The sequence below is a fragment of the Homo sapiens genome, chromosome 2, assembly GCF_000001405.40.
Source record: "Homo sapiens chromosome 2, GRCh38.p14 Primary Assembly".
NCBI classification, from domain to species: domain Eukaryota; kingdom Metazoa; phylum Chordata; class Mammalia; order Primates; family Hominidae; genus Homo; species Homo sapiens.
Genome location: NC_000002.12, coordinates 224,020,560 through 224,044,535, shown reverse-complemented (window position 1 = coordinate 224,044,535; position 23,976 = coordinate 224,020,560). Strand labels below are relative to the sequence as shown.

General features: G+C 45.5%; 1 protein-coding gene and 1 long non-coding RNA gene across 6 annotated transcripts in view, besides 5 other annotated features; one reads left to right on the top strand and one right to left on the bottom strand.

Moving 5' to 3' along the window:
• Window positions 2,044–5,134, bottom strand: LOC124907991 (uncharacterized). Its single transcript, XR_007088103.1, has 2 exons — window positions 4,994–5,134; window positions 2,044–2,818 (listed from the first exon to the last, which is right to left on the bottom strand). It is a non-coding gene; the product is annotated as an uncharacterized LOC124907991 (long non-coding RNA).
• Window positions 4,790–5,084: a silencer, noted in NCBI's record as "tiled region #13948; K562 Repressive non-DNase unmatched - State 13:Ctcf". NCBI's record gives its function as "represses a minimal TATA promoter and a strong SV40 promoter by Sharpr-MPRA in K562 cells {active_cell/tissue: K562}" and the evidence as "EXISTENCE:reporter gene assay evidence [ECO:0000049][PMID:27701403]".
• SERPINE2 (serpin family E member 2) overlaps window positions 5,250–23,976 on the top strand; it is a 64,242-nt gene continuing 45,515 nt past the window's right edge. For 2 of the 5 annotated variants that reach the window (NM_001136528.2, NM_006216.4), the window contains exon 1: window positions 5,250–5,437. Coding sequence is in view for 2 of the 5 variants with exons in the window: in XM_005246641.3 (XP_005246698.1) it covers window positions 6,033–6,046 (14 nt within the window). In the remaining 3 variants the exon portion in view is untranslated. 5 annotated transcript variants of the gene reach the window in all.
• Window positions 16,575–17,213: an enhancer, noted in NCBI's record as "OCT4-NANOG-H3K27ac hESC enhancer chr2:224892040-224892678 (GRCh37/hg19 assembly coordinates)". NCBI's record gives its function as "activates a minimal SCP1, AML or CMV promoter by ChIP-STARR-seq in naive H9 embryonic stem cells {active_cell/tissue: H9 hESC(naive)}" and the evidence as "EXISTENCE:reporter gene assay evidence [ECO:0000049][PMID:30033119]".
• Window positions 17,214–17,853: an enhancer, noted in NCBI's record as "OCT4-NANOG-H3K27ac hESC enhancer chr2:224891400-224892039 (GRCh37/hg19 assembly coordinates)". NCBI's record gives its function as "activates a minimal SCP1, AML or CMV promoter by ChIP-STARR-seq in naive H9 embryonic stem cells {active_cell/tissue: H9 hESC(naive)}" and the evidence as "EXISTENCE:reporter gene assay evidence [ECO:0000049][PMID:30033119]".
• Window positions 18,245–18,294: an enhancer, noted in NCBI's record as "active region_17186". NCBI's record gives its function as "activates an Ori minimal core promoter by ATAC-STARR-seq in GM12878 lymphoblastoid cells {active_cell/tissue: GM12878}" and the evidence as "EXISTENCE:reporter gene assay evidence [ECO:0000049][PMID:35858748]".
• Window positions 18,355–18,414: an enhancer, noted in NCBI's record as "active region_17185". NCBI's record gives its function as "activates an Ori minimal core promoter by ATAC-STARR-seq in GM12878 lymphoblastoid cells {active_cell/tissue: GM12878}" and the evidence as "EXISTENCE:reporter gene assay evidence [ECO:0000049][PMID:35858748]".

Below are 23,976 nucleotides of genomic sequence, written 5' to 3'. Positions count from 1 at the left end.
ATAAAAAAAAGAAAAGGGGCTGGGTGCGGTGGCTCACACCTGTAATCCCAGCACTTTGGGAGGCTGAGGCAGGTGGATTGCCTGAGGTCAGGAGTTCGAGACCAGTCTGGCCAACATGGTGAAACCCCCTCTCTACTAAAAATACAAAAAAGTAGCCAGGCATGGTGGTGCACGCCTGTAATCCCAGCTACTTGGGAGGCTGAGGAAGGAGAATCACTTGAATCCGGGAGGCAGAGGTTGCAGTGAGCTGAGATCATGCCACTGCACTCCAGCCTGGGTGACAAGAGTGACACTCTGTCTCAAAAAGAAAGGAAGGAAGGAAGGAGGGAAAAAGAAAGAAAGAGAAAGAAAGAAAGAAAGAAAGAAAGAAAGAAAGAAAGAAAGAAAGAAAGAAAGAAAGAAAGAAAAGAAAGAGGGAAAGAAAGAAAAAGGAAGGAAGGAAGGAAGGAAGGAAGGAAAGAAGAAAGAAAGAAAGAATTCATTCCCATCTTTGTGCTTTGGTGACTGAGATGGAAGTCATGTCTGTAAAACACATGGAACACAGGAGGAAGAACTGGTTGGGGGATGAAGATAATAAGTGGGTTTGACTTGTTAGGTGGGAGGTGATGGTGGGATATTAAGTGGAGGTGTCTGCCAGGCACTTGGAGATAGATGAGTGGTACCTTGGGATGGTGGCCAAGGCCATCTGTAGATATGGGCTTAGAATTCATCCAGAACTAAGCAAAGTTACAGACATTTAAGGTATGTCAGTTAGGCATCCTAGGTTGCTGGCAACAGAAACTGAATCTGGCTAACAAGTAGAAAAGTCTCACAGAAACAGAGTTCACTGTGGACCTCTGCTCAGACGGGACAGGGTCTATGGCAGCTCTGAGGTCCGGGTAGGAAGAACTCACAAATTCATCATTCATCAAGCTGAGATAAGTCAGCTGCAATTACTTTTTCATTCTTTTCAAGATTCAAAGAACTGGGAGGGAATCCAGTGAGCTTGGTCATATGCCCATCCCTTGGCTAGTGAAAGTAAGGATACCTTGATTTCCTTCCCAACAAAATGCTGCATAAAATAGAAGAGGTGTTTCCACTATCAAAAGGTGAGGAGGGGAACAAGTGTTGGTGGCCACAGATAAATCAATGTTCGTTCCACTGGGAGAGAGTGTGGAGAAAAGAGGAGGGAGCTGAGGACAGTCAACTGCATGGTGCCCACCTGTTGGAAGATTTGATGGAAAAAGGATAAAGGCAAGTTAAGGCATAGGAAGAGAGAAAATAGGCAAAGGAGTTTCCAAAAAATGGGCACACATATGAGAGTGAAATCCTGCCAAGGACTCAAAGGTGATAAAGAATGTTGAAAAACTACTGGGGTTGCCATTGGAAGCTATTGGTAACATTTGGGAGAGAAGGAGGGCCCGAGGAAGCGAGGAAGAAAAGGAGGGGAGCCCGATGATGGGGTAAGAAGATTGACCGAAGAGACCCATGGAAAAAGGGAGGCAGCATCTATTGTTTGGTGGTAAAAGGAAGGAGAGCAGCTGGGCTGTTGTTTGAAGGGGTCAGTATCACAACGACTCTCAGAACCTGGCTGTTACATCCTATTTGGTCACATATAAGTAGAAAATAATACCCAGCCCAGCACTTAGTAATGTCTTTTCTCTGAAGCTCTTGGTGAAAACTAGTGACGACAATAGCAAAGTGCAAACTGATGCTCTGGTTTAATCTGTTTCAGAAGTTACAGAAAGAGGAAATTGAATTTATTTGAAAGCCAACTTTAAAGGGAAATAAAAAGATAAATGTCTTTTCTAAGCTAAAAAAAAAAACCCCAAAGCAATGCAACAGTTTCAGAAACTAATTGTATAAGTGTACTGTTATTACCAGTCTCTTTTCCCCTGGTTGAAACAATCTTCCATAACAACATTTGCAACTATAATATTGCGTAACAAGCACTGTTACGGTGTAATGTCTTTTAAATAGGGGTTAGATAGGAGAGAAGTGAGTATCCATTATCTTATTATCATAACATCCGTCAGTCTTCCAGACAAAACACCATCATCCCACTGGGAGCTAAGGACGGTTTTTACTTAAACACAAGGTCATACTGTTTGGGTGCATGGGAGAGCAGTGGAGGTGGGGTGGGGGATTTTCATTTATTCCAAGGCACTCAACGCTGGACTTCTTCCAAGAGAGGAAACAAGACTAAATAGATCATTTGTTTTATTCTGTTTGGGCAGTTCTTGCATTTCTCCCAACTGTGGCTTATGGACACAAAGCCAAACTCAGAGCCTAGCTGGAGCTGGCTAAACTCCAGGTCAAAGGAATAAACAATTTGAAGCTCTATTTGCGGATTAAGGCAAGCCACACAATTGCAGGACAAAATGAAATTTCACTGTGAATGTGAAGTCACAAAGAAACAGCAGGTAGAAGTGTTAAATGATTTGGATTTCTCAAACAAAACCGAGGTAGAGGTAGGAAGGAAATGTGGATTGGAAGTACACATCTATGAGAAATGCATCTCAAAAAGGGTCAAATATTGGAGAATACTGGAGGAGGAACCTGCTGCTTGTGGGGACCAACTGAGGTAGGAACACAACATCTTTGGAACAGCCCCTCACGGTGGGTGTCAAAGAGCCTGGCCATTTGAGTGTCATGGAAAGTGTAGCTTGGGTCATTACTTCTGTCTCCTCTTGCTGGCATCAGGAAGGCTGGCCAACACCAGCCATGCACACTCAGTAACAAGTATAGTTGGTATTCCCAGCATATCCCACTGGCAGAATGGGTCTTTGTCTTCAATCACTTTCCTTTGGGAGACCTCATCGTTGGCCTCATCGCATGTCTAGCGAGAGAGAAGGGAACATTAGTGTCTAGGCTTACTTTAGCATATTAGTTAGCACTGCATCCACTGTGATTTCAGAATTGACAAGTCACGTACAGTATTGCTCAAAATGTTCCTTCGACACTACAGGAAAGAATGGGGAAGTAAATGTCAGTCATTAAAGTGTAACCCAAAGAGGTAAGTCCTAAGGACTTCTAACGTCTTTCATAGATGAAGAATTTGGACCCTATTTACACTCTAATTGGGAAAGCAAAAAAGGCTTGTTGTTGTTTTTTCTTGAAAAACATTGGCTCCTTCAAGACAAGAGACTGAAACTCTTCAAAATAGTAATTTTGTGCATTTCTCTCACTGGTTTGAGTAACTTTAGTAAAAATTTAAAGTTACACATAATTAACCAAAGTGTGTGAGATAGGAATCAACGTATCAATGTTAATATCCTGATTGTGATATTATACAATGGTTTTGCAAAATGTTACCATGAGGAAGACTTGGCAAAGTGTAAAAGAGACCTCTCTGAATCATTTCTTAACAACTGCATGCCAGCCTACAATTACCTCTATTACAAATTTTAATTTAGAAATGTGATTGAGACAGAAATGGATGCAGGGATTCTGGCACATTTTCATAATAATCTGGCTTCACCCACATTTCCCAGTTATTTCTCCAGTAGTTTCTTGAATGACTCCCTTCCATCTGGAAGAGGATACTCCCAGCTTTTCAAACACACTGAACGAGCTCATTCACACCTGTGGGCTTTCCCCCCTCCTTTGAATTGTTCCCAGCTCCAGCCCACACCGCCCTGACTGGACCAAGCACAATACTGTCACTGAAACAGTTCTTAGCATGTCTAAAAGTCACTTGGCTAGTAGTTCATCCACTCGTCAACAAAATTTATTGAGTAACTGCTATATGTGTGGTATGGCTCTAGGCACTAGGGATAGAGTGAGTTGGAAACAATATTGAAATTAGTTTCTCTTCCCTGGTCTCTGGGAGTATATTCCAATGAGAGAGAGTAGAAGAAAACTAGCAAGAAACAAGGTAAAAAAAAAATCAATTCATGATGAGGGTTATGAAGGAAGTCATAGGTTAGAGGGGATAAAGTGACTTTATCTCAAGTGGTCAGGGGAGGCTTCCTAGGGGAGAGGACATTTGAGTTGTGACCTCAAGTGTAAGGATGCAGACAACATAGAAGATCCTGGGACAAAAAGCATTTCAGGCACAGAGAATAAGAAAGTTACCCTGTAACTGAATATAAATATTTGGTATGACTGTAAAATAATTAAACAGATGCTCATTTTTGTAGACTGTTTGCTCCTTATTTTAGGACCAAGCCTCCCATAGCCTGTTTCCCTCTATGAGAGACTGAGAACACCCTTAGGCTGGTCCAGATTTTACACTTTTCAGAGCAACCCCTTCCCCAACACACACGTGCACACTCTGGCACGGCCACCTGCATGCCAAGGGGTGACTGCAGGCTGATCTTCCAAGTGGCTCTCATCAGTAGCTGTACCCTTAATCCAGGGCTGTGTATAGGGAGATTTACATTTCTTCCTCGCTGTTGGGGCCGTCTGCCTGCTAGCGACGATTCTACACTAACGGCTACATAAATTACTGTCATTAAAGTTGGGTCCTTGGGTCCCCAGAAACCTAACTAGAGGCAAAGGAGGAACCAACTAAGAGAGGTCCAGGTAACAGAGCCCGGAGCGGGACGGTCATTTGTTGCAGGCCCCTGGGGTATGTGCCTGTCTATCGCGCACCGGGTCCCAGCAGCAGTGGTTACCGGCTGAGAAGGGCTGGGTTCCCAGGACGCTGCGGGTACCTCATGCTATCACCATAGCCGGGAATCCAGTTTTCTGGTTCCCCTCGTCTGTATTTGCCTAAGGCGACTTGCCGCCGTTCCTCTGTCCCCTAGGCAGGGAGAAGTCAGCTCTAGGACACCCTGCAAAACGCCTCGAGGGGTTATCTGCCCCTTCCCGGCCGCGTCCTGGCACCGTTTCCCCATCACCCGGAGGACTGAGCGCTGTCTCAGGGCGCCCTCTGTCTCTTCCAGGGGGCAGCCAAGACGACATGCCCTGCGTCTCAGGGACGCGGTACGAGCCCTGGTATTCCCCCCGCCACCTCACACACCCCCATCCGGGAGACCCACGTGCAGCTGGGCCCGGGCTGGCGCCGCACCTCGGGGTCTGCGCGTCTCCCCGGCGCGTTCCGGGCGCAGCCCCACGACACGGACCCCTGGCGGGGCGGCATCCGAGAAGTCGCAGGCGGAGAGGGGGCGTCCTGGAGGCCGGGCGCGGGGACGCTGCGGCCCGCGGCCACACAAAGGAGGCGGCGGGAAGGCGGGGCAAGGCGGGCCGGGGGCGGGGGCGGCAGGAAGGGGCGGGGGCCCGCGCGGCGCCGCCGATAAAGCCCCCGCCGCCGCGGCAGCCAGCTTGCGCTGTGGGGCTGCCCGGGCTGCGCGGCGTCTGCAGGCGCCACCGCTGCCTCTTTCCGGCTGTGACCCTCCTCGCCGCCGCCGCTTGGCTGCGTCCTCCGACTCCCCGCGCCGCCGAGACCAGGCTCCCGCTCCGGTTGCGGCCGCACCGCCCTCCGCGGCCGCCCCCTGGGGATCCAGCGAGCGCGGTGAGTACAGGCTGCGCGGTGAGTCCCGGGCGCGGCCGGCGCTGCCCTCGGCGGGGGACGCTCCCCGGGGCTCCGCGCGCCACCGGCCCTGCTCCCTGACCTTGCGCCCGGCCGGGAAGCTGCGGGGCCAGCGGGACCCTGGGGCGCCGACGTCGGGGAGCAGAGAACTTTCTCAGCCTCCCGCGGGCCGCCTTGGCCGGGGCTGGGTGCTCGCCGGGCATCCCGGTCCCGCCCGCCGGGAGCCCCGAGCGGGACCCGGGCAGGGCAAGGCGGGGCCGCCCCGGGGTGGCGTCCAGTGATACCCGCAGCTGGGAGCACCGGGGCCGGCGTGGCTCCTGCCCGGCCATCCGAGCCGGCCCTGACCCTGAACCTGAGGTTTCCAGCTGCTCGCCGGCAACCCCTACCCCGGACTTAGGCTGCGCGCCGCCGGATGGGGAGAGACTGGCGCACTCTTACTTGTTACCTCTGCCTGGGCAGAGGGAGGTGACGCGCGGTGTGGGGAAAGCCTTTAACTTGGCCTCTGGCAGCCGATTTAACCCGAGCGAGCAGGTCTTTGCTATTTTCATCATCTGTAGAAACGGGAGTTGCGAGGCGGATGAGTGACTGCAGGTAAAATGAAAGTACGGTACTCAGAAATTCTGGAAGGAATTAGGCATTTAATGTGTCCACAAACTGAGCGGGGAAGGAAGGCTTCTATTACATAAGACAGCACTCCACCTTCAGGTATTATGGAAGATGCTGTTGAAGGTTTTAGTGTTTTAATGAACGAAACACATTCTTTGTGTGTGTGTCTCTGGAGAAATCTCGAATGCTGCTGTCTTGCTTTGGCTACTTTGCAGGGGACGTTCTTATATTTAGCATCAGCATAAAAAGGTGTTCGAAGGTGTGACTTCCTCTTTCAAGCCAAGAAGCCGTTTATTTGTCTGAATTGTTGTGGAACAATATATGTGATAATTGTGTACTTTGAAGATTTTATATCAAAACTTGAGCACAGATAACTGGAAGAATTGTCAACATTGCTAATTTGTATATCCTAAACCACACTTCGAAAATTGAAGACAGTTTCAACACTATCTGAAGGTCTAAATCAGTACTTATTTGCTATTTGCAGTATTTCAATAGAAAAATTTTTGGCTATGCAAATGAAGGTACTAACCTGAGTAATCTAAGGTTTCTTTTAACCCCCAAATTTTGATTCTTTGTTAAAATAATGTTTGAAAATATCGTACCATGCAGGGCAATTACTGAAGGTCATGAAAATGTCATCGTATTTTATTCTAAAAACAAAAATGAATCTATGCAGAAAATTTCCGTGTCCCATGAACTTCATATTAGTTTAATTTTAAAAGTACTGTCTCCAAAAAAAGCTAATTTTCACTTCCACACAAGGGTGATTAAATACCAGTCAGAGATTGTTTGAGGTGGTAGAGTTGGAAATGAGGTGGTGACCTGGCCACGTCCCTGGGTGCATCTCAGCCTTGCTGTCCTCTTCCAGCCAGTTCTTTTCCCATCGCATGGGGACTTTGGCTCTTGGGCTATTTCTCCTCCTCTAGACCTAAAGTCCATGTGGGGGACGCTCTAGATGCGCACTTCCTTGACTGTCTCAAATCCAGTGTCTTCCATGTACTCCAGCTACCAAGTCCTCTAAGTACCTCCAAGTCTTGCCCTCTCTTGAGATGCTCAACTTCTGAAAACTCTTAGTGCCTCCAACCCGCAAGCTCCTTCCTTCCGGGTTGCAAACCGGACTCCCACTGTAATCTTCAATGCAAGCGATCTCCAATGCTTTTCCTCTTGCGGGTTTGGCAGGTGACTTTGTAGCCCATTCTACCAGGAGAATAGAGGTCATAAGTATCTCCTCACGTCCTCCCCCATCTCCCCTGTACAGACTTTTCTGTGTTTACCCAGTCATCCAATAAATCTTCTTAAGCATCTACTGTGTCTGGGTACTTTGTTGGATACTCATAGGTGGTAAATAGAGCAGATCCTTGCTCGCTTGAAACTGTCATTCTTGTGGGAGAAAACCAACTAAAAGCAAACATAATATGTTGTAAAATGTATGATAAATGAATAAGGTAGAATTATAAAGAAAAATCAAGTTAGACTGAGAACTTAGAGAAATATAGAGAGATGGCCTCCTTGGGGCAGTGACTAATGTCTCCAGCTGTGTCCTGAATCCCAACTCCCAGTGCCTCTCTCTCCTTGTGAGTGTTACTCCCTTTTCTTACTTTTATCTTCAGTCTCTCCCTGTGAGCTTTTTTCTTTTTTAGTAGTATTTTAAGAATGCCTTAACCTCCCTTGTCCCTGCATCCTCAGCTCACCTGTAGTGACAACCACGTCTCTCCAGGCTTCTTAAACTGGTCTGCCCTTCCTGTTCAGCTCTTTGCAAGCTGGCCAGAGTCTCCTCAAAGTTCAAGGCCTGTGACTTCCTGAACAAGCAATCTTTTTTTTTTTTTTTTAATTTTTATTAATATGCTTTAAGCTCTGGGGTACATGTGCAGAACGTGCAGGTTTGTTACATAGGTATACACGTGCCATGGTGGTTTGCTGCACCCATCAACCCATCACATTAGGTATTTCTCCTAATGCTATCCCTCCCCTACCTCACTCCCCGCCCCCCACCACAGGCCCCAGTGTGTGATGTTTCCCTCCCTGTGTCCCTGTGTTCTCATCTGAACAAGCAATCTTATGGATACCCACTAGGTTTCTCCGTGGCATTTGATGAGGTTCTTCTATTCCTTTCTGATGGTTTTTTTTTTTTTTTCCATCCCTGGTTGCCACCTTCTGGTTTTCCTTATTCCTCCCTGGCATCTCTGCTACCTCTTGGGGTTACCCAGGGTTCGCTGTCATCCCTTTTGTGCTCTGTGTATTTGGGTGAACCATGTTCCCACAGCTTCGACTCTCACCAATATGAAGCGAGTCCCAGATTGGCATGTTAAGCTAGCTTGAGCATGCTCCTGTGTTCCAATCAGTTACCTGCAGTCTGGTGCGCTTACCCGTGCCCTTTAGGCCAAAAAAACACCCCAAAATAAATCCAAAATTGATTTTAGTTTTCACCACCCACCCCATATCCGCTTCATTGTTAGCGAAGATTTGTCCGTTTTTTTTTGGCAGTGGTTCCACCGTTCATGGAGATGTTGGAGCAGGGGTCTCACGGTGATGCCAGGCTCCCGCACTGCCCACATGCAGGCTGTCACCAGATCCTGTTGCTTCTTCATGCTGTGAAATTCCACAAAGGTCCGCTCTAGTCACGCTGGCCTTGCCTTGCTTTAGAGCCCAAAAGTGGCAAAATGGTGGCCGGTGTGCCACTTCTAGCAGTAGGCAGCAGTGTTGTTGGCCTGAACAAAGTATATACAACTTGAGTTAATATTTAGAAATCTGGAGATGCCACTTGGATGTATAGCTTCTCCTAAAAGCCAGAAGACCTGGATGAGGCAGTGCGTGGTGGCTCATACCTGTAATCCCAGCACTGTGGGAGGCTGAACCAGGCGGATCACTTGAGGTCAGGAGTTCAAGACCAGCCTGATCAACATGGTAAAACCGCGTCTCTACTAAAAATACAAAAATTAGCTGCGCCTATAATCCCAGCTACTCGGGAGGCTGAGGCAGGAGAATCGCTTGAACCCGGGAGGCAGAGGTTGCAGTGAGCTGAGATGGCGCCACTGTTCTCGAGCCTGGGTGAAAGAGTGAGACTCTGTCTCAAAACAAAAACAAAAACAAAACAAAAAAAACCTGGAATAGGAAGCTTACATTCCCATGTGGCAAACCTCAGCTGCTGCTGGGTTTCCAGTGCCTGAATACACTGGAGGTAGGTTGCTTTCTGGTTCCCCCAGACCTGTGACCCTTGCTTATAGTGGCGTTCTGGCTCCCATGGGCTTCAGAGCTAGAGACCCTAGGCTGAGACGATCATCGACAGCCTGGGAATGCCTAGTGCTTACTGCACAGTGTCGTGCACCTCATGTTGCATCCCTTCTAACTCTCTTCCATGTTATTGCTGGTGTGACTTTCCTCCTGCTGCCCCAAATCCAAGTCTTCTTGGGTCCCTCCTAATAAAATTCAATGGCTCCCTCTTGATCTGGGCTTAAATCCCTGACTCTAAAGGAGTGGCCATGTCATATCACAAGTTTGGTATCTCAAGATTGAAAGATGAGCTCTCCGCTATCTTTATACAGTGTTGTACCCGAGTTTCTGAAGATGCTTTTGAGCTTCTGTAGGGTAGTTAATACAGAGTTCTAGTGTTGATGACAGTCCTGCTGTTTACAAAGCATTTCTACAAGCCTGACTACTGCCCCACTTCCTCGCAGCCCCCCTGGGTGGAGATAGGGCAGGGTCGATTCTATATCCCAAACAGCAGTGGGGAGTCTGTAAATATGGAGGCATAGGCCATCCCAGGGAGTCCCCCACCCTTGGAACATGGGGAACCTTGTTTTACATGTGGTATCCAGAGTCATACAGTGTGTTCCTGAGGTCATTTAGACACCTTAGGGCAGAGTCTTGACCCAGAACTCAGTTCCTGTCAGCATGCAGCCAGGGAACTTTCCACAGTGCTCCATGGGCTCACCAGGCTGCTGGCCATTTGTAATGACCCAACAGAGTCAAAGCTTTCTTCACTCCCTTCCCATCTCCTTGCCTTGTCCCCTGCCTGAAACATTCTTTTCTTGCAAAACTGAACCTCCCGTAAACTGCACTGGTACCGCCCAGTGCTTTTCTGCCTTTGCTCCTTCTGTACCTCTGCCTGGAATTCCCTTTCTCCTCCTGTGTTCATTGTCTGGCTGATTTCTCCTTTTTCAAGACTCAGGCTCAAAAAGGCCTTGCTGGCAGTCACCACCCCAGCCCTCTGTGGCACATGTGCAGTGTACACACACGTCACCCCTCCCCGTGCCTACCTCAATGATGGCAGTTTTTTGTGTTGTAGCAACATGCCCTATCCAGTAGACTCTAAGCTCCAGAAAGACGTGCCTGTGTTTTAGTTTTATTTGCACCAGCGGTGGTGTGTGGCCCAAAGGCAATTAACAGATGTCTGAACTAAACCATATTCATATTTTTTGTAAGTTTACTGCATGCTTTATGGAAGAGTGTTTGTATTCCAGACTCAAAGGGGAGCTCTCTCTGCCAGACCTCCAGCCCTCATTTTGGTACTAGCAAATTTAATATATATCCTCAGACATTTTAAATTTTTGATTAACCTTGTCTTTTGAGATAAAACATTACTTAGAGAAAAGCGGAAGTCTAATACAGAAGCACTTGTGTGCCTGTGTTCACTTCAGTTATCCTCATCTGAACCTCCCTTTGGCATGGTTCTGCCCTCCTTGAGGTCTGTTGGCTGGGCTGCACTCTGCATTTCGTGGTTTTACAGGGTAGGAGAATGCATTTTGGTTTATTTCTATTAACTTTGGTGATGGTGATATATGACCTCTTGGTGACTTTTTTTTTTTTTTTGCCATGGAACTTTTTTGGCTGGTATCGTCAGTCACATTTGGTGGAAAGAGCAGGCTGGGAGAGGGTATGGGCTGCACCACCAATAGAGCGTGTAGGTTACCATCTAGAACTCAGTTTCCTTGTCTGTATAATGGGTATATTGAAATAAATGATCTAAAAGGTGTCTTATTTTTAAAACCTATAAATTCTTGGCTCAGTTTCCTTTTGATGTGGCTTTCTCATAAGTGTTAAGTCTAGATAAAATTTTTTCGTAAATGCATTATCCTGTGCTCATACACCTTAAAGTTCTTGTCTCTCACTTTTTTAAGCCTATAAAATCATTCAGCATTATATTCAGAAACAGCATCATGGGCCAACATGAAGATTTAGTTTGTATTCCCACTTAGAGCATTTATAAAAATTTTAAATAAATTAGGTCCCATATACTTGAATCTTGTCAACCTGTTCTCCACACATAAATGTGCCCATCTTCTCTTTGCAAACCATCTTTCCTCATGAGTAGATTGCACGCCTAATCTGAAAACCAATGTTGGGTTTTTAAAAAATACCCTTAGATACAGAATGGAGTCAAATGCAATAAACTACATCTTTAGGTTATCTCTTGTCTGCAAGTTCCCAATTTAAGAATACTGAGAGATTAGTATGATTTTATTTCTCTTTTGAGAAATACCACCTCCCATCCAACAGGCCAAGTCTATTTCTACAGTCAGTGAGTCTTGCCTTTATTCTGCTGTTAGATTTCTAGGTCTGGATGTAAGCCCAGTCCAGGGAAGTCGGCATCCCTTCTGGGATTCTTTCTGTGCATGAGGATGGCCACTGAGCCCAAGCAATCCTCTATTTGTAATTCCACTCGTATGTTTTGGCAAACATGTCCTAGGATTCCTCCAAAGGTTGGGGTGGACACCCTAGTTCAAGATTAGATCAGGAACACCCAGGCTTTTGCCACAGTTTGACGTAAGACATTATCCTTTGCTTCAGAAGATCATTTGAGAATTGGAATTTACATCCATTGTGCCTTTCCATTTTTCTTATTTAATTCTTTGAAGAATAATATGAGGAGACTTTAATATAAAAGAAAAAATCCCATCAAGAGTCAGAAAGGATTTCCTGTTACGGCTGCAAATCTTGGTAAATGCACTTTGTTTTTGTAAACCGTGCCCCACCCCCAACCCCTAGTGTGAACTCGTAACCTGGGGAATTTCTCTTGAGAGCATACCAAAAATAGCATCAGTGCCTTCTCTTACCCCTACCCCAACTTTCGCCCTCCATGTAGTTCCAGCAAATATAGCTATAGAAAAAATAACCACTTGTTTTTATCCTAAGTTTTTATGGGCCAAATCTTGAAGGTGGATGTGGGTATGTGAAAGAGTTTAATGCCAAATACAAAGCCCACTCGGAAATGAATAAGGTGACTACAAATGAAAATGGATGTTTCTTTCTTCCTTTGGGGAAAGTGCTATGTAAATAAAGGCAATGTTTGCTTCCTCTACTAAAATTTATTTCTGCAGTTTTTAAATAAGAAATCCACTCAAGAAGTTATTCTTACTGAGGATTTGGTCACTGTTAAGATTATAGGAACTATTAACTACTGCATTATCTTTTGCTTACAAGAGAACAAACCCAAATCAAAATAACTCGGAAACAAGGCGGAGAGCTGTTGGCTGACACTGCCCACTCAAGCATGGGAGAGGTGACTCTGGCCCTGAAGATGACTGGAACCAAAGACTGAGGACTTGGAGGCTTTCTTCTCTTTCTCCTTGCCTCTCATCTCTGCTTCTGTCTGCTGATTGTGGTTGTCCTCTCCGGGACCATGACTGTAGGTAGCTCCAGGCTTACCTCCCTACAGCCTCCTCAGTGAGGAGGAAAGAGGGGCTTTTCAGCCAGTTCCAGCCGGCGGGGGGGGTGGGGGGTGGAAATCCTAGGGAGGAATTCTGATTGGCTTAGTTTCAGTCACATGCTGTTCGCTGTACCAATGGCTGTGGGCAGAGGAGTGAGGTCCTATGATTGGCTGATGCTAAGTCACATGGTCACATGCTCGTCCCGATACCAATGGCTGTGGGCAGAGGAGTGAGGTCCTGTGATTGGCTGATGCTAGGTCACGTGGTCACATGCCCTTCCGTGTACCAATGGCTGTGGGCGGAGGAGGGAGGTTCTATGATTGGCTGAATCCCAAATCACATGGTCAATCCTTGGTTAGGAGGAAAGGGAGTGGAGAGGACCGTGCTGCCTGGCGTTCCCCAGCTGCCTTTCTTTCTGTTTTCCCCCCAACGGAATCTCTATGTGGTCTCCTAGAGCCTCGTGCCTGCCTCTCAGCTAGATGCTGATATCATTCCCACTCATGTAGTTGGGAAGGAAGGGTGTGGCAGAGATAAAGGGTCCACGGTCACGCAGTATGTGGGGGGTCACACAGCCTGTATGCCAAAGTGGCACACCCTGTGAATATGTAGGGTCGCACAGCCTTTATGTGTCAGTGCCAGAGCCTGGACCCGGGTCTGTAGATGTGTGAACCGTGAGCTGATACCATGGATATTCAAAGATTTACATCCCATCAATGTTTATACCTTCTTGAGAAGAAATTTGTGTCAAAGCACACTCCTCCTTTCAAGACTACCTCCTCGCCGTGCTGCGTGATAGCCCTAGTATCACAACCAAAACACATGATACAGAAAGAGGCCAGTATCTGTGTGGTACGTTTGAATCATGGTTTTATGCCTTTGGCCCCCTAGTTCCTTCCTCAGACACTTGTTTTTTTCTGGGACTGAAATCTAAAATTAGTACTGACCTTTGGATTGAGAAGGTAGAGAGATTTACACAAGAGTCCAAGCGAATAACTTAAGCTGAGCTGGATAAAACTCAGCAGAATCACAGAACAAGTGTGCCATGACTTTTCAAACATGCCTAATTGAACTCTGTTTGCGATTTAACTTCTTTTTCAAAGGTTTATAGTTACCTTTATTTCAAAATTTGTCATTTTAAAATATGTGTTTCCTCCTTTTCCTCCACTGTATAGTAATTAAGAGTGTGGAGGATTTGGAGGCCAGCGGGCTTTGGTTTGAATCTAGAGGCTACATATTGGAGGGTATGAGCCAAAGCCAAATTTCTAAACATCTCCAAGCCCATCCGTGAGTTGGGCCTAAAGGTGTTTAGGCTTAAGGGCCACCCCTGAAGTGTTGTGAGGATGAAGCGAAGAGTATATCTTAGGCGCTAAGCACAGTGGCAGGAATGGAGCTGACTTTCGGGACACGAGGTGGCTGTGGTTGTGGCATTGGGTAATATTTGTCACAGAAGTACAGGTGAGCACTTCTCTGAGACTCATGTCTTCCTCGTGTCTTTGGCCTGATGAATGAGTGACTTGCTCTGTGTCTTTGCATGCTTTGTTTCCAGACACCTTTCCTGCTGCACTCTCAGTGGGCAGTACTCCCCAATGATCACCTGGTCATCTGTCCTGCCCGCAGGCTTCAGGCTCTTGTGCGTTGGCCATGAAGCAAAGGAAGGCTGTTGCATGAAATAACCTCCTTCTGACTCCACCCTTGCATTTGTGAGATGTAAACAGCAGTGTTACCAAGAGGTCTTCCAGGGAACACGTTGCAGGTAGCCCTGTCATGCTGGCTGCTTTTTTCCATTAGGTTAGTTGTGAATAACGAATAAATGTCTATGCAGGGCCAGACATGTCTATGCTGGCTCACGCCTGTAATCCCAGCAGTTTGGGAGGCTGAGGTGGGCAGATCACTTGAGGCTCGGAATTCAAAAACAGCCTGAACATAGTGAAACCCTGTCTCTACTAAAAATGCAAAAAATTAGCTGGGCATGGTGACGCACGCCCGTAATCCCAGCTACTTGGGAGGCTGAGGCATGAGAATCACTTGAACCCCGGAGGCGGAAGTTGCAGTAAGCAGAATTGTGCCACTGCACTCCAGCCTGGGTAACAGAGGGAGGCTCTGTCTCAAAATAAAACAAAACAAAAAATGTCTATACAGTAGGAAAAATAATCTATTTGGTTTAATATTTAGGTCTCTGCAAGGGTAGCATCCAGAGGCTTCTCTTTTCATTCTTGTTTTTCTGACTGTGAAAAAATCATTCTACTGTGTCCAGTGATGTCCAGATACCAAGAAATAACTATTTTAAACATATGGTGAATATTGTTAAAGCACATGGTGATGGTCATTTAATTATGATTTGATTCCGTCAATATGCAAAAGAGTTCTAAGAATGTTGGGTTAACCTTAGCAAGCATTCCCAGATAGGAAATGTGTTTTCTGCTACCATTGATAGGATTTTTTTAAGGATTTTACTGGCAGTTATCCACTTTGGACTTCATACAGCAGTCTGAGTATATGCCCACACCTGAGTTGTTGCTCTAACAGTGAGATTAGGGGATGCCAGGGAGAATCTGTGTGATGACTTAATTGTAAGGGAGAGCTTTCTTTCTAAAGGTGTGGATTTTTCTGTTTGAAATGTGTATACTAAAAGAATCCTATTATCTTATGCCAAACCTGTGCTAATTTCTTAATGACATGTTAGTTAAAATAACAATTTGGAGGATTGGCTAAGGATGCCACAGTATTCATAATAAATCTGTTCTTGTGCAGCAAGGTGGTAAATCATGAATATCAAAGTTCTGATCATACTAATTTGAATTAATTTAGCATAGTGGAAAGTATGAAGACATAGTTTTTCCAATGCATATGTCACTTCTTAGCCTAAAATTTCTACGAGTGGGGCAAGTACATTTTTTACATGTACAGTGGCAAAATTGTGCTTGTGTACTGCTCTCTACCTTGTGTTCTGGTTCTGCGTGTGTTTTCTCTGCCCTGTTAGGAACCTGCAAGTGGAGTATCTTATTCTTTTGGGCTCCTCCCACCATAGCTGGCACAGAGGAGCCCAAAAAGTACTTCCAAGGGGAGAGGGAAGTGGAAAATTATGCATCATCAGTGTGTCAAGTACTATTAGGCATCTTTTATACACGATCCTGTTGAATCCTAACAACCCTTGTAAGGTAGAAATCATTCCTGGTTTATAGGTGAGAAAAATGAGATTCAGGTGTGTAGAACACCCGGCTCCGATTCCCACTGATGGGATATAGACTCCGGGTCTGTGTCTCTCTGTGGTGGACACTTTGGATCCTGAAACGCTATCTTCAGGAATGATTGAGGCTAAGCCATGTGGCTGAGCAGTGATGCACGGCCTCACAGATTGAAGGTCAGAGCATTGCTGGGCAGAGGATGAGTTTAGAGGTCAAACAAACTTGGTTTCAAACCCCAGGTCCACACTTAGTAGTGTGTGGCTTTAGGCAAAATACTTCCCTCTCTGTGCTTTATTTCCATAGCTAGAGAATAGAGAATGATGAGGATATTACCCTCCTTGCAGAGAAAGATCACAGTGTCCCCAGTTAACATGCAGGGAAATGGGAAATAGGAAATACAGTGACTCAAGTTGCTTGGCAAAGGCAGGGCTGTGGCAGGTTGAGAATTCACGTCTTTGACTCCTGTCACCTGTTACCTCTCCAGATGCCAAGTCTGGGTACAGTTTGATGACAGAACTGCCATCACCTGCCACTCACCCTTGGTTAGCCCTTAGCGGCCCACATAACTTGGTGGCTCTTACAACCCGATCCTAGAGTCCCATGGCTGATTCATGCTCTTTTTCTCTATTGTGTCGTCTCTGTATTCACTCCTGTGTTCTCGAGGAAGATTCATTCTAGAGGGTAAAAGAGAGTCCACAAGACTTGTTCTTAATGTATACACCCCACACAGGACAAGAAGGAAGTTGAAGGTGGCAGCCTGTTGTATTTGGGTGACGTGCAGCTGAAGAGCTAGTTTTTGAGCACTTACTCTGTAAGAGGTGCTTAGAGGGGCACAGAAGTATCTGCAAAACAGGCCAATCTTTGAGGGGTTTATTTAGGTAGAAAGGGCACATCCATGATATTTAATAACAATTTGAGATAGTCTAGAACAGTGGCATATGGTATGGGGGAGGGGGAGGCAATCAGGGAGCATTGTCTGTAGAGGATCTGAAAGCAAAAATGAAATTACCTCAGTTTTTTTTATTATCATGGTGATAAAATATTCCTCCACCAGACCCAACCACTTCTACCACTCCCACCTTGTCCCTAAGTCCTGTACTGGATCAATAATCAGTTGCCAAAATGAGTTGATACCAGTGACATGTTTGGGAGGTCAAGCTGGCAGTGGTCAGTGTGGACTGAACTGTTGGGGAAGGCTGCGTGGAAGTCCCCTCCCCTCCCTCTCAGTTAGGACAGGACACCAGGAGAGCAGTCTGTGACCCTGAAGACTGCAGCAGTCCCTGATGCCCATGCGAGCCATGGGCCAGGAAAGTGCTTTCTGTGCATTGCCTCACCACGTGAGAGGCTGATAGCCCAAGATGGTTCTGTAGCTGAGGAATCTGGGTGAGTGACAGGTGTCCTCCTATGCGAGATTAGGGGAGTAACGCCCAGCTTTCAGACAGCCAGCAGGGGGGCTCAGTAGTGCTAATGCCAAGCCCTTCATGCAGAGAAGTGACTTAAGTGTCAGTTACTACTTTGTGCCAGAGGTAAATCTCTCTGCAGAGGGAAATGTTGGCACATAGCTGGTAAACACCAGTGTCTAGGTAGCCCTCCTGGGCACAACCGTCCTCATTTTTTCTTTTACTTGACTCTCCACTAAATCCTTTTTGCCCGAAACTTTGTAGAATTGGTATTTATTGATTTGTACCAGCTAAGAGTTGGCTATTTAGTCTCTGACGTGCTCTTTATGGCTGAAGAAAAACAGGTAACTCCTTCACAGAGGAGAGATTAATTCCCTAGAAAGGAAGACAAAAGTTTTCATGGACAACTTTGGAAAGGTGTGAAGCATTAAATATCTATGACAGCAAGACACGGGAATACACAAGCCTGTGTTAAGGCCTGATCCCTTCTGGGCCAGGCACATAAGCTGAAAATGGTACCTGAGCAATTTCTGAGTATGTCACGAAAAGGCACTGAAATACAGAAGTTTCTCTATGGAAAAGAGTGTCCCGGCTTGGAAACTGTGTCTGAAGCAAAAAATTTCCTCAAAATTGTTCTTCAGAAAGGGAGTTGCCGTCTAGTAGGGTCCTTACAAAATCATTAAGAGTTCGCAAAAAAACTAGATAGATGAGATCCATGAGTGACTGGCTGAGAACAGATGGGGAAGGCAAATTCGCCTGAAATTCTCTCAGTCAATGCATATTATGAATGCTTATCGAGGTTGCTTCATGAAAAGGGGTTAAATTTTAAAAAAGAGAGGCAAAGAAATTGAATACAGATTTAGTACTTGTTCTTGAGGTTATAACTTCAGAGTTGCCAGATATTGAACGTTGAATTAGTTAAGGTAGTGCTAGTTGTTGTAACAAATAAACCCAAATATGTACCGTGACTCAAACATGATGGAAGATTATTTTCCACTTGTATAAAGCCCGAAGTGGGCGTGTTTATGTGAAACCTGGTGATTTGGCGACCCAGCCTCTTCCTGTCTGTGGTTCCACTTTATTTAACAGGCAGCTGCTAAGGTCACGTACTTGTCAGCATTGAACTGGCGGAAGCAGAAAGATCATGGAGGACTGCATATGGGAGATTTTGATAGGCTAGGCCTGGGAGTGGAATGTGTCACTTCTCCTATTTCATTAAGAACAGTTCAGCCTTATGGTCACGCCCACCTACCTTGAAGGCTAGGAAATGTAGCCCAGCTCTGCGGTTGGCAAGAAGAGGAAATGGGTTTCCTGAAGAGCTAGCTGCCCTCTGTCATTTGAAATTTTATTAAGACCATTGAAGGTCACTTTAAAAGTAACACGATCACTAATATGCTGTGTGGATCGTCAATATATTTTTGCCTCTGAGGGCAACTTTCTTGGTCACTCTGAAGGGCTTCTGATGGCCTAGGGTAGGTGTTTCAGTGGCAGTGTTGCACATCGTTTTGAAAAGTGCTGTGTGATAGGCAACTTGGAAGGTAAGGAGGTGCTGTGCTTAGAAGAATGGTTACACAACTCACAAATTGAGGACAGGCATGTGGACACTACCTGGGAAGACTGTGAGCTAAATTGCTTCATGGAAGGTGGACATGGAATGAAAAGTACTATTTCTAACTCATAGGGTATGTGATTTCATGTGAGTCATAAAGTTTATTTGGGCAGATTGACCAAAATTTGTAGGGGGTAGGGATTTTCTCATTGGGAAAAGAAGAGGGCTGTCTTATCTGGGGGATGCCCTATATCCAAGCATGCATGGGAATTAGAAGTTAATCAAAGAAATAAAGAATTAACGCTGGAGGAGGGGAGCCTCACTCTTGCAATGTGGGAGAAGTTGGTCAGATGTGCTGGAAACACACTTATACATCTGGGAGGAAAAAGAGAGGTGAAAGCTGGGGAATGGGGTTAGTGCCAATCCTGCACTCTGAGGGAATGAAAAGAGACCCAGGGGACTGGGCAAGGGGCGGGCAGGTGACCTGTCCCTGGGAGAAGCCCTTGGCCGTGCCAGTCTTGTGGTGGGTACCCCCGTGTGCTCTCTTTTTTTTCTGTGTGATGTGGGCAGGTTCCCCAACCTCTCTGCATCTCTGTGTGTAAGAGTCTGTGAAATGATGTGTTCACAGAGCTGTGCACATAGTAGGGGCTTTATGAAAGTTTCTTCCCCCATCTTCTGTGCAGCTACTCACCAGCCCCATTGTTGGGGATCATTGTCTCCATAATTGGCTGTGAGTAACTGGGGAGATGTTCTCCCCTATAAAATGCAACTTCATGACAAAAAGAAGCTCAGCCCCCTTCATCCCTAAAGATTCGTTGGTGCAGTTTCTTATACCAGAGGTTAGATAAAGCTGAGAAGGAGAACTTCCATTGTCATTGACTTTTAATTCTAGAAGTCCCTGTTCTCCTATCTTAGCTTTGGATGTTGGCAGCAGGGCAGCAGGCGGGTCTTGTGAAGAAAAGTTCTGTGGAACCTAAGAGTTATTGACTTGTTCTTCAGCATCTTCGCGTAATCCTCATAGCAGCTCTCTGAAGTTCATTGGTGGGGAAGGAGGCTTATCACTGATCTTATAGATGAGGAAACTGAGTTGCAGATCAGGTATGTGACTTACCCATTGCAGGCAGGCCCAGGACTAGACAACAGGCCTGTTCCACAGTAGTGTTAAATGGGCATAGGTTTCTTCTGGGAAATAGCAAACGTCCCCTGGCCCTTAAATCCCTTCACAAGGCATTAGCATCAACTGTAGCAAAGGAAATGGAGTCAGGTTACAGGACGAAGCTCAGTAGCTGGGTGACTAAATCCAGGTTCGGAACCATGTTTCCCATCACTTAACATGGTTTCTGAGCTTTGAAGAACTTTTTTCGTTTGATAGGTGCTTGCTTGGCAGGAAGAGGTGGGCAGTGATCACCTTTTTACAAAATTTTTTTGAGATTTTCTTTGCAAACTCTTTGTACTGAAGGAAGAAAGCAAAAGGCGCAAAGAGTTGGAGATAAAAGCACAGGAACCTTTCTTAAAGTGGAAGTTGTCTTCTCATATCTTCCCCATCCCTCATTCCCTTTTCCTACTTTAGAAGTATTTCTATACCTTGTGCCTACAGATACATATATTTTTATTTACTTACTATATTTTGGAAAATGGCTCATATCATTTTTCCCCAGAAGTCAAAATGTGGGAACCAGGGACCACCCACCTCTTGTACCCAGTTCAAACTCTTTCTGGGTCACTGTTTTATGTGTAATTCATGCCAAAAAGTTACACTGAAGGATATGGATGGACCAAAGCTGCATGGGTTTCTTACAACAGGCCTGGGTAGAGAGGCTTGGTGCAAGAAACCCACCTTGATTACAAGAGCCAGAATGGAGAACTGAAAAAGAAAAGAATGTCTACCCAGTGTCACAGGATTACTTTTGTGGGTGCCAAAACATATCTCAAAGTAGCCCTTTAGTCACCTAATAAAAGATGGGAAATGTTTAGTCCATGTGTACTACTGGAATCCATGTATTTTAATATGACACCTTTGATATATTTGGAGGGAGGGTAGGAAAGATGTTCTCTGTTTTATTTCTTCTGAACCTTTTTAAAAGTTTCTGAACTGCTTAAATGAACCTACCTGTAGACTTAAATGTGTTAGGAAGCTGATTTAGCTGCACTGAGCTCTTCCTTTCCCTTACTTCCTTCTCAGGTTGTAGAATACAAGCTCAGCACTTTCCTGGCTTCCCTCTATTGCTCTGGGAAAGATAGTAAGTAAATAGTGTCTGTTGCCAAAGGGAGAAGAATAAACATAGGCTGGATCACCAAATGGTGCTGCATTTTATTTGTATGGTGTCAGAGACACTGGCTGCTTAGATGGCATCACTGAGGGAGATCCCCAGCATGAAGCAGAGAAGACAAACTTGGGAGTTTGTCAGGATACCCAGGGTCATTGCAGGTCAGAGAGACTGACTAACAATTACCAGACTCACAAGAGACGGATAAATAACAAGAGGGTCCTCTGACCAATAAGGACTTTCCTCACCTTAACAAAATCTTCATGGGAAGCCCACTTGTTATAGGAGGCTTGATTGGTGTATTAGTCTGTTCTCACCTTGCTATAAGGAAATATCCCAGACTGGGTAATTTATTAAGGAAAGAGGTTTAATTGACTCACAGTTCCTCAGGGCTGGGGAGGCCTCAGGAAACTTACAATCATGGTGGAAGGCAAAGGAAAAGCAGGCACCTTCTTCACAGGGTGACAGGACAGAGTGAGTGCAAGCAAGGGAAATGCCAGACACTTATAAAACCATCAAATCTCATGAGATTCACTCATTATCATGAGAATAGCATGGGGGAAACTGCCCCCATGATCCAATCACCTCCCACCTGGTCCTGCCCTTGGCACAGGGGGATTATGGAGATTATAATTCAAGAAGAGATTTTGGGTGGGGACACAGCCAAGCCATATCAATTGGTAAGTACCATGTGAAAGCAAGTTAATGGCCCATGTCATAGAACTAAAACCATTTGTTTTAGTTCTGTGTTGCTTGTAGGGAATTTTCTAGTCAGTTAGCACAAGAGGTTTAGTGGTTCAGCCAAGTTTCACATACTAGGTCCCTTCATTTCCAGAGATTGGGAGTGTCTAAAGGACTAATTTTGTAATGTCAGATAATGTAAGAGAATAGCCCCTGGTGACAGGTGATTGAAATAGATAATTTCTGAGTCCTTTCATTATTTCCTATCTGTTTCTTAATTCGTGAAATAAAAGTTAAGGGTTATCTAAGGAAGAACACTAAGTTATGACTAGTACTTTCATTTGTTCAATAAATACATATCTGGTGTTCATTATGTCATTTAACTTTAAATTTTTTTTTTTTTTTTTTCTTGAGACAGGGTCTCACTCTATCACCCAGGCTAGAGCACAGTGGTGTGATCTGGGCTCACTGCAACCTCTGCCTCCTGGGTTCAAGTGATTCTCCCACCTCAGCCTCATGAGTAGCTGGTACTACAGACGTGAGCCGCCACACCTGGCTAATTTTTTTTTTTTTTTTTTTTTTTTGAGAAGGAGTCTCGCTCTGTTGCCCAGGCTGGAGTGCAGTGGTGTGATCTCAGCTCACTGCAAGCTCCGCCTCCTGGGTTCATGCCATTCTCCTGTCTCAGCCTCCCAAGTAGCTGGGACTACAGGCGCCCGCCACCATGCCCGGCTAATTTTTTGTATTTTTAGTAGAGACAGGGTTTCACCGTGTTAGCCAGGATGGTCTCGATCTCCTAACCTCATGATCTGCCCGCCTCGGCCTCCCAAAGTGCTGGGATTACAGGCGTGAGCCACCACGCCCAGCCTAATTTTTGTATTTTTAGTAGAGACTAGGTTTCGCCATGTTGGCCAGGCTGGTCTCAAACTCCTGACCTCATGTGATCCACCCACCTTGGCCTCTTAAAGTTGGGATTACAGGTGTGATCCACTGTACCCGCCTTAACTTTAAATTCAGATACTTTTAATTCTTTGGTTATGGTTTGTTGGTTGCTACCACTGTGGGTCACTGTCTTATCCTTCCCAGTAGGGATAGATGTGGCTGCTCTTCTGATTTTCACCTCCTCTTACTAATTTACCCTGTGGTGGGAAACACATCAACTGATAGTGTTATTTCATGTTAAGTAAAGGCAAATAGCCACCTTCCTCATTTGACTGAAACTCAATGTGTCACATTCTACCTCTTTTCTTAGTCCTTAAGGATTTCTGTCATCTGTTAGTCTGCAGGCTCTTAAGGTCAGGCTCTGTCTTCCCTTCATCTTTGAAGCTTCTACTCTTGTGCTTCCCTCTTGATGTAGGCCCTGAATCACTGTTTTGTTGACTAGGAGAGCACATGAACTGTTTGTGCAACCTCTCAAGCTCCGTTTGAAATGGAAGATGATCATACATCTTGTGGCACCCCTTTTTCCCAGATCCCAAGCTTCCGGGCACCCTTTCTTTCTTCACCTCCACAGATGCTGCCTTCACCCACCCTTTGATGAACCATCTTGATCAACTGCCAAGAATGTCAAGGGCATTTCTAACGCCAGGGCAACAGCTATGAGCACTTATGAGACCACATCAGGTTTGACTCCTGAACGAAGGATGTCCTTATCCATGGTCTCTTTTTCCTGGCAGGCATCTTGCTGTTATTTTGGAAATTTTCTCTGGGCCGTAGAGGTTTGAACCAGTCATGTCTAGGAGCGTTTGTTTTCTCAGGAAAAGCAACCCTGTTAAAGCCATTGTTTTAAAAAGTCACTTGGAGCATTAAAAACCTTTGACCATCCATTCATAGTGCTAAAATTTAGGAGTGGGGCTTCAGGCAAGCAATATTGAATTAAATGTGTGGAGCACTTTAAGACAGCATTTGATTGTACATTTAAAATAGGGAATGCAAATTGAAATTCCTCCTGGGTGCTTTAAATCATGCATTATATGTGCAGTATTTTCAATTAGCTGCAGAAAAAAATATGTTCGGTGTGGCTGTATTTTTACAGCTGGGAATTGCTCAGAGAACACAATTGACTATTTCATCCATGTGAGATTTATTTAAATGACTCGTGGGGCATTTGCAGTTTAGCCAATAATTGAAAATATTGTTGCAATGTGGCAGGTAAAACTAGGAAATCATTTCGCATTCCTGCAGAG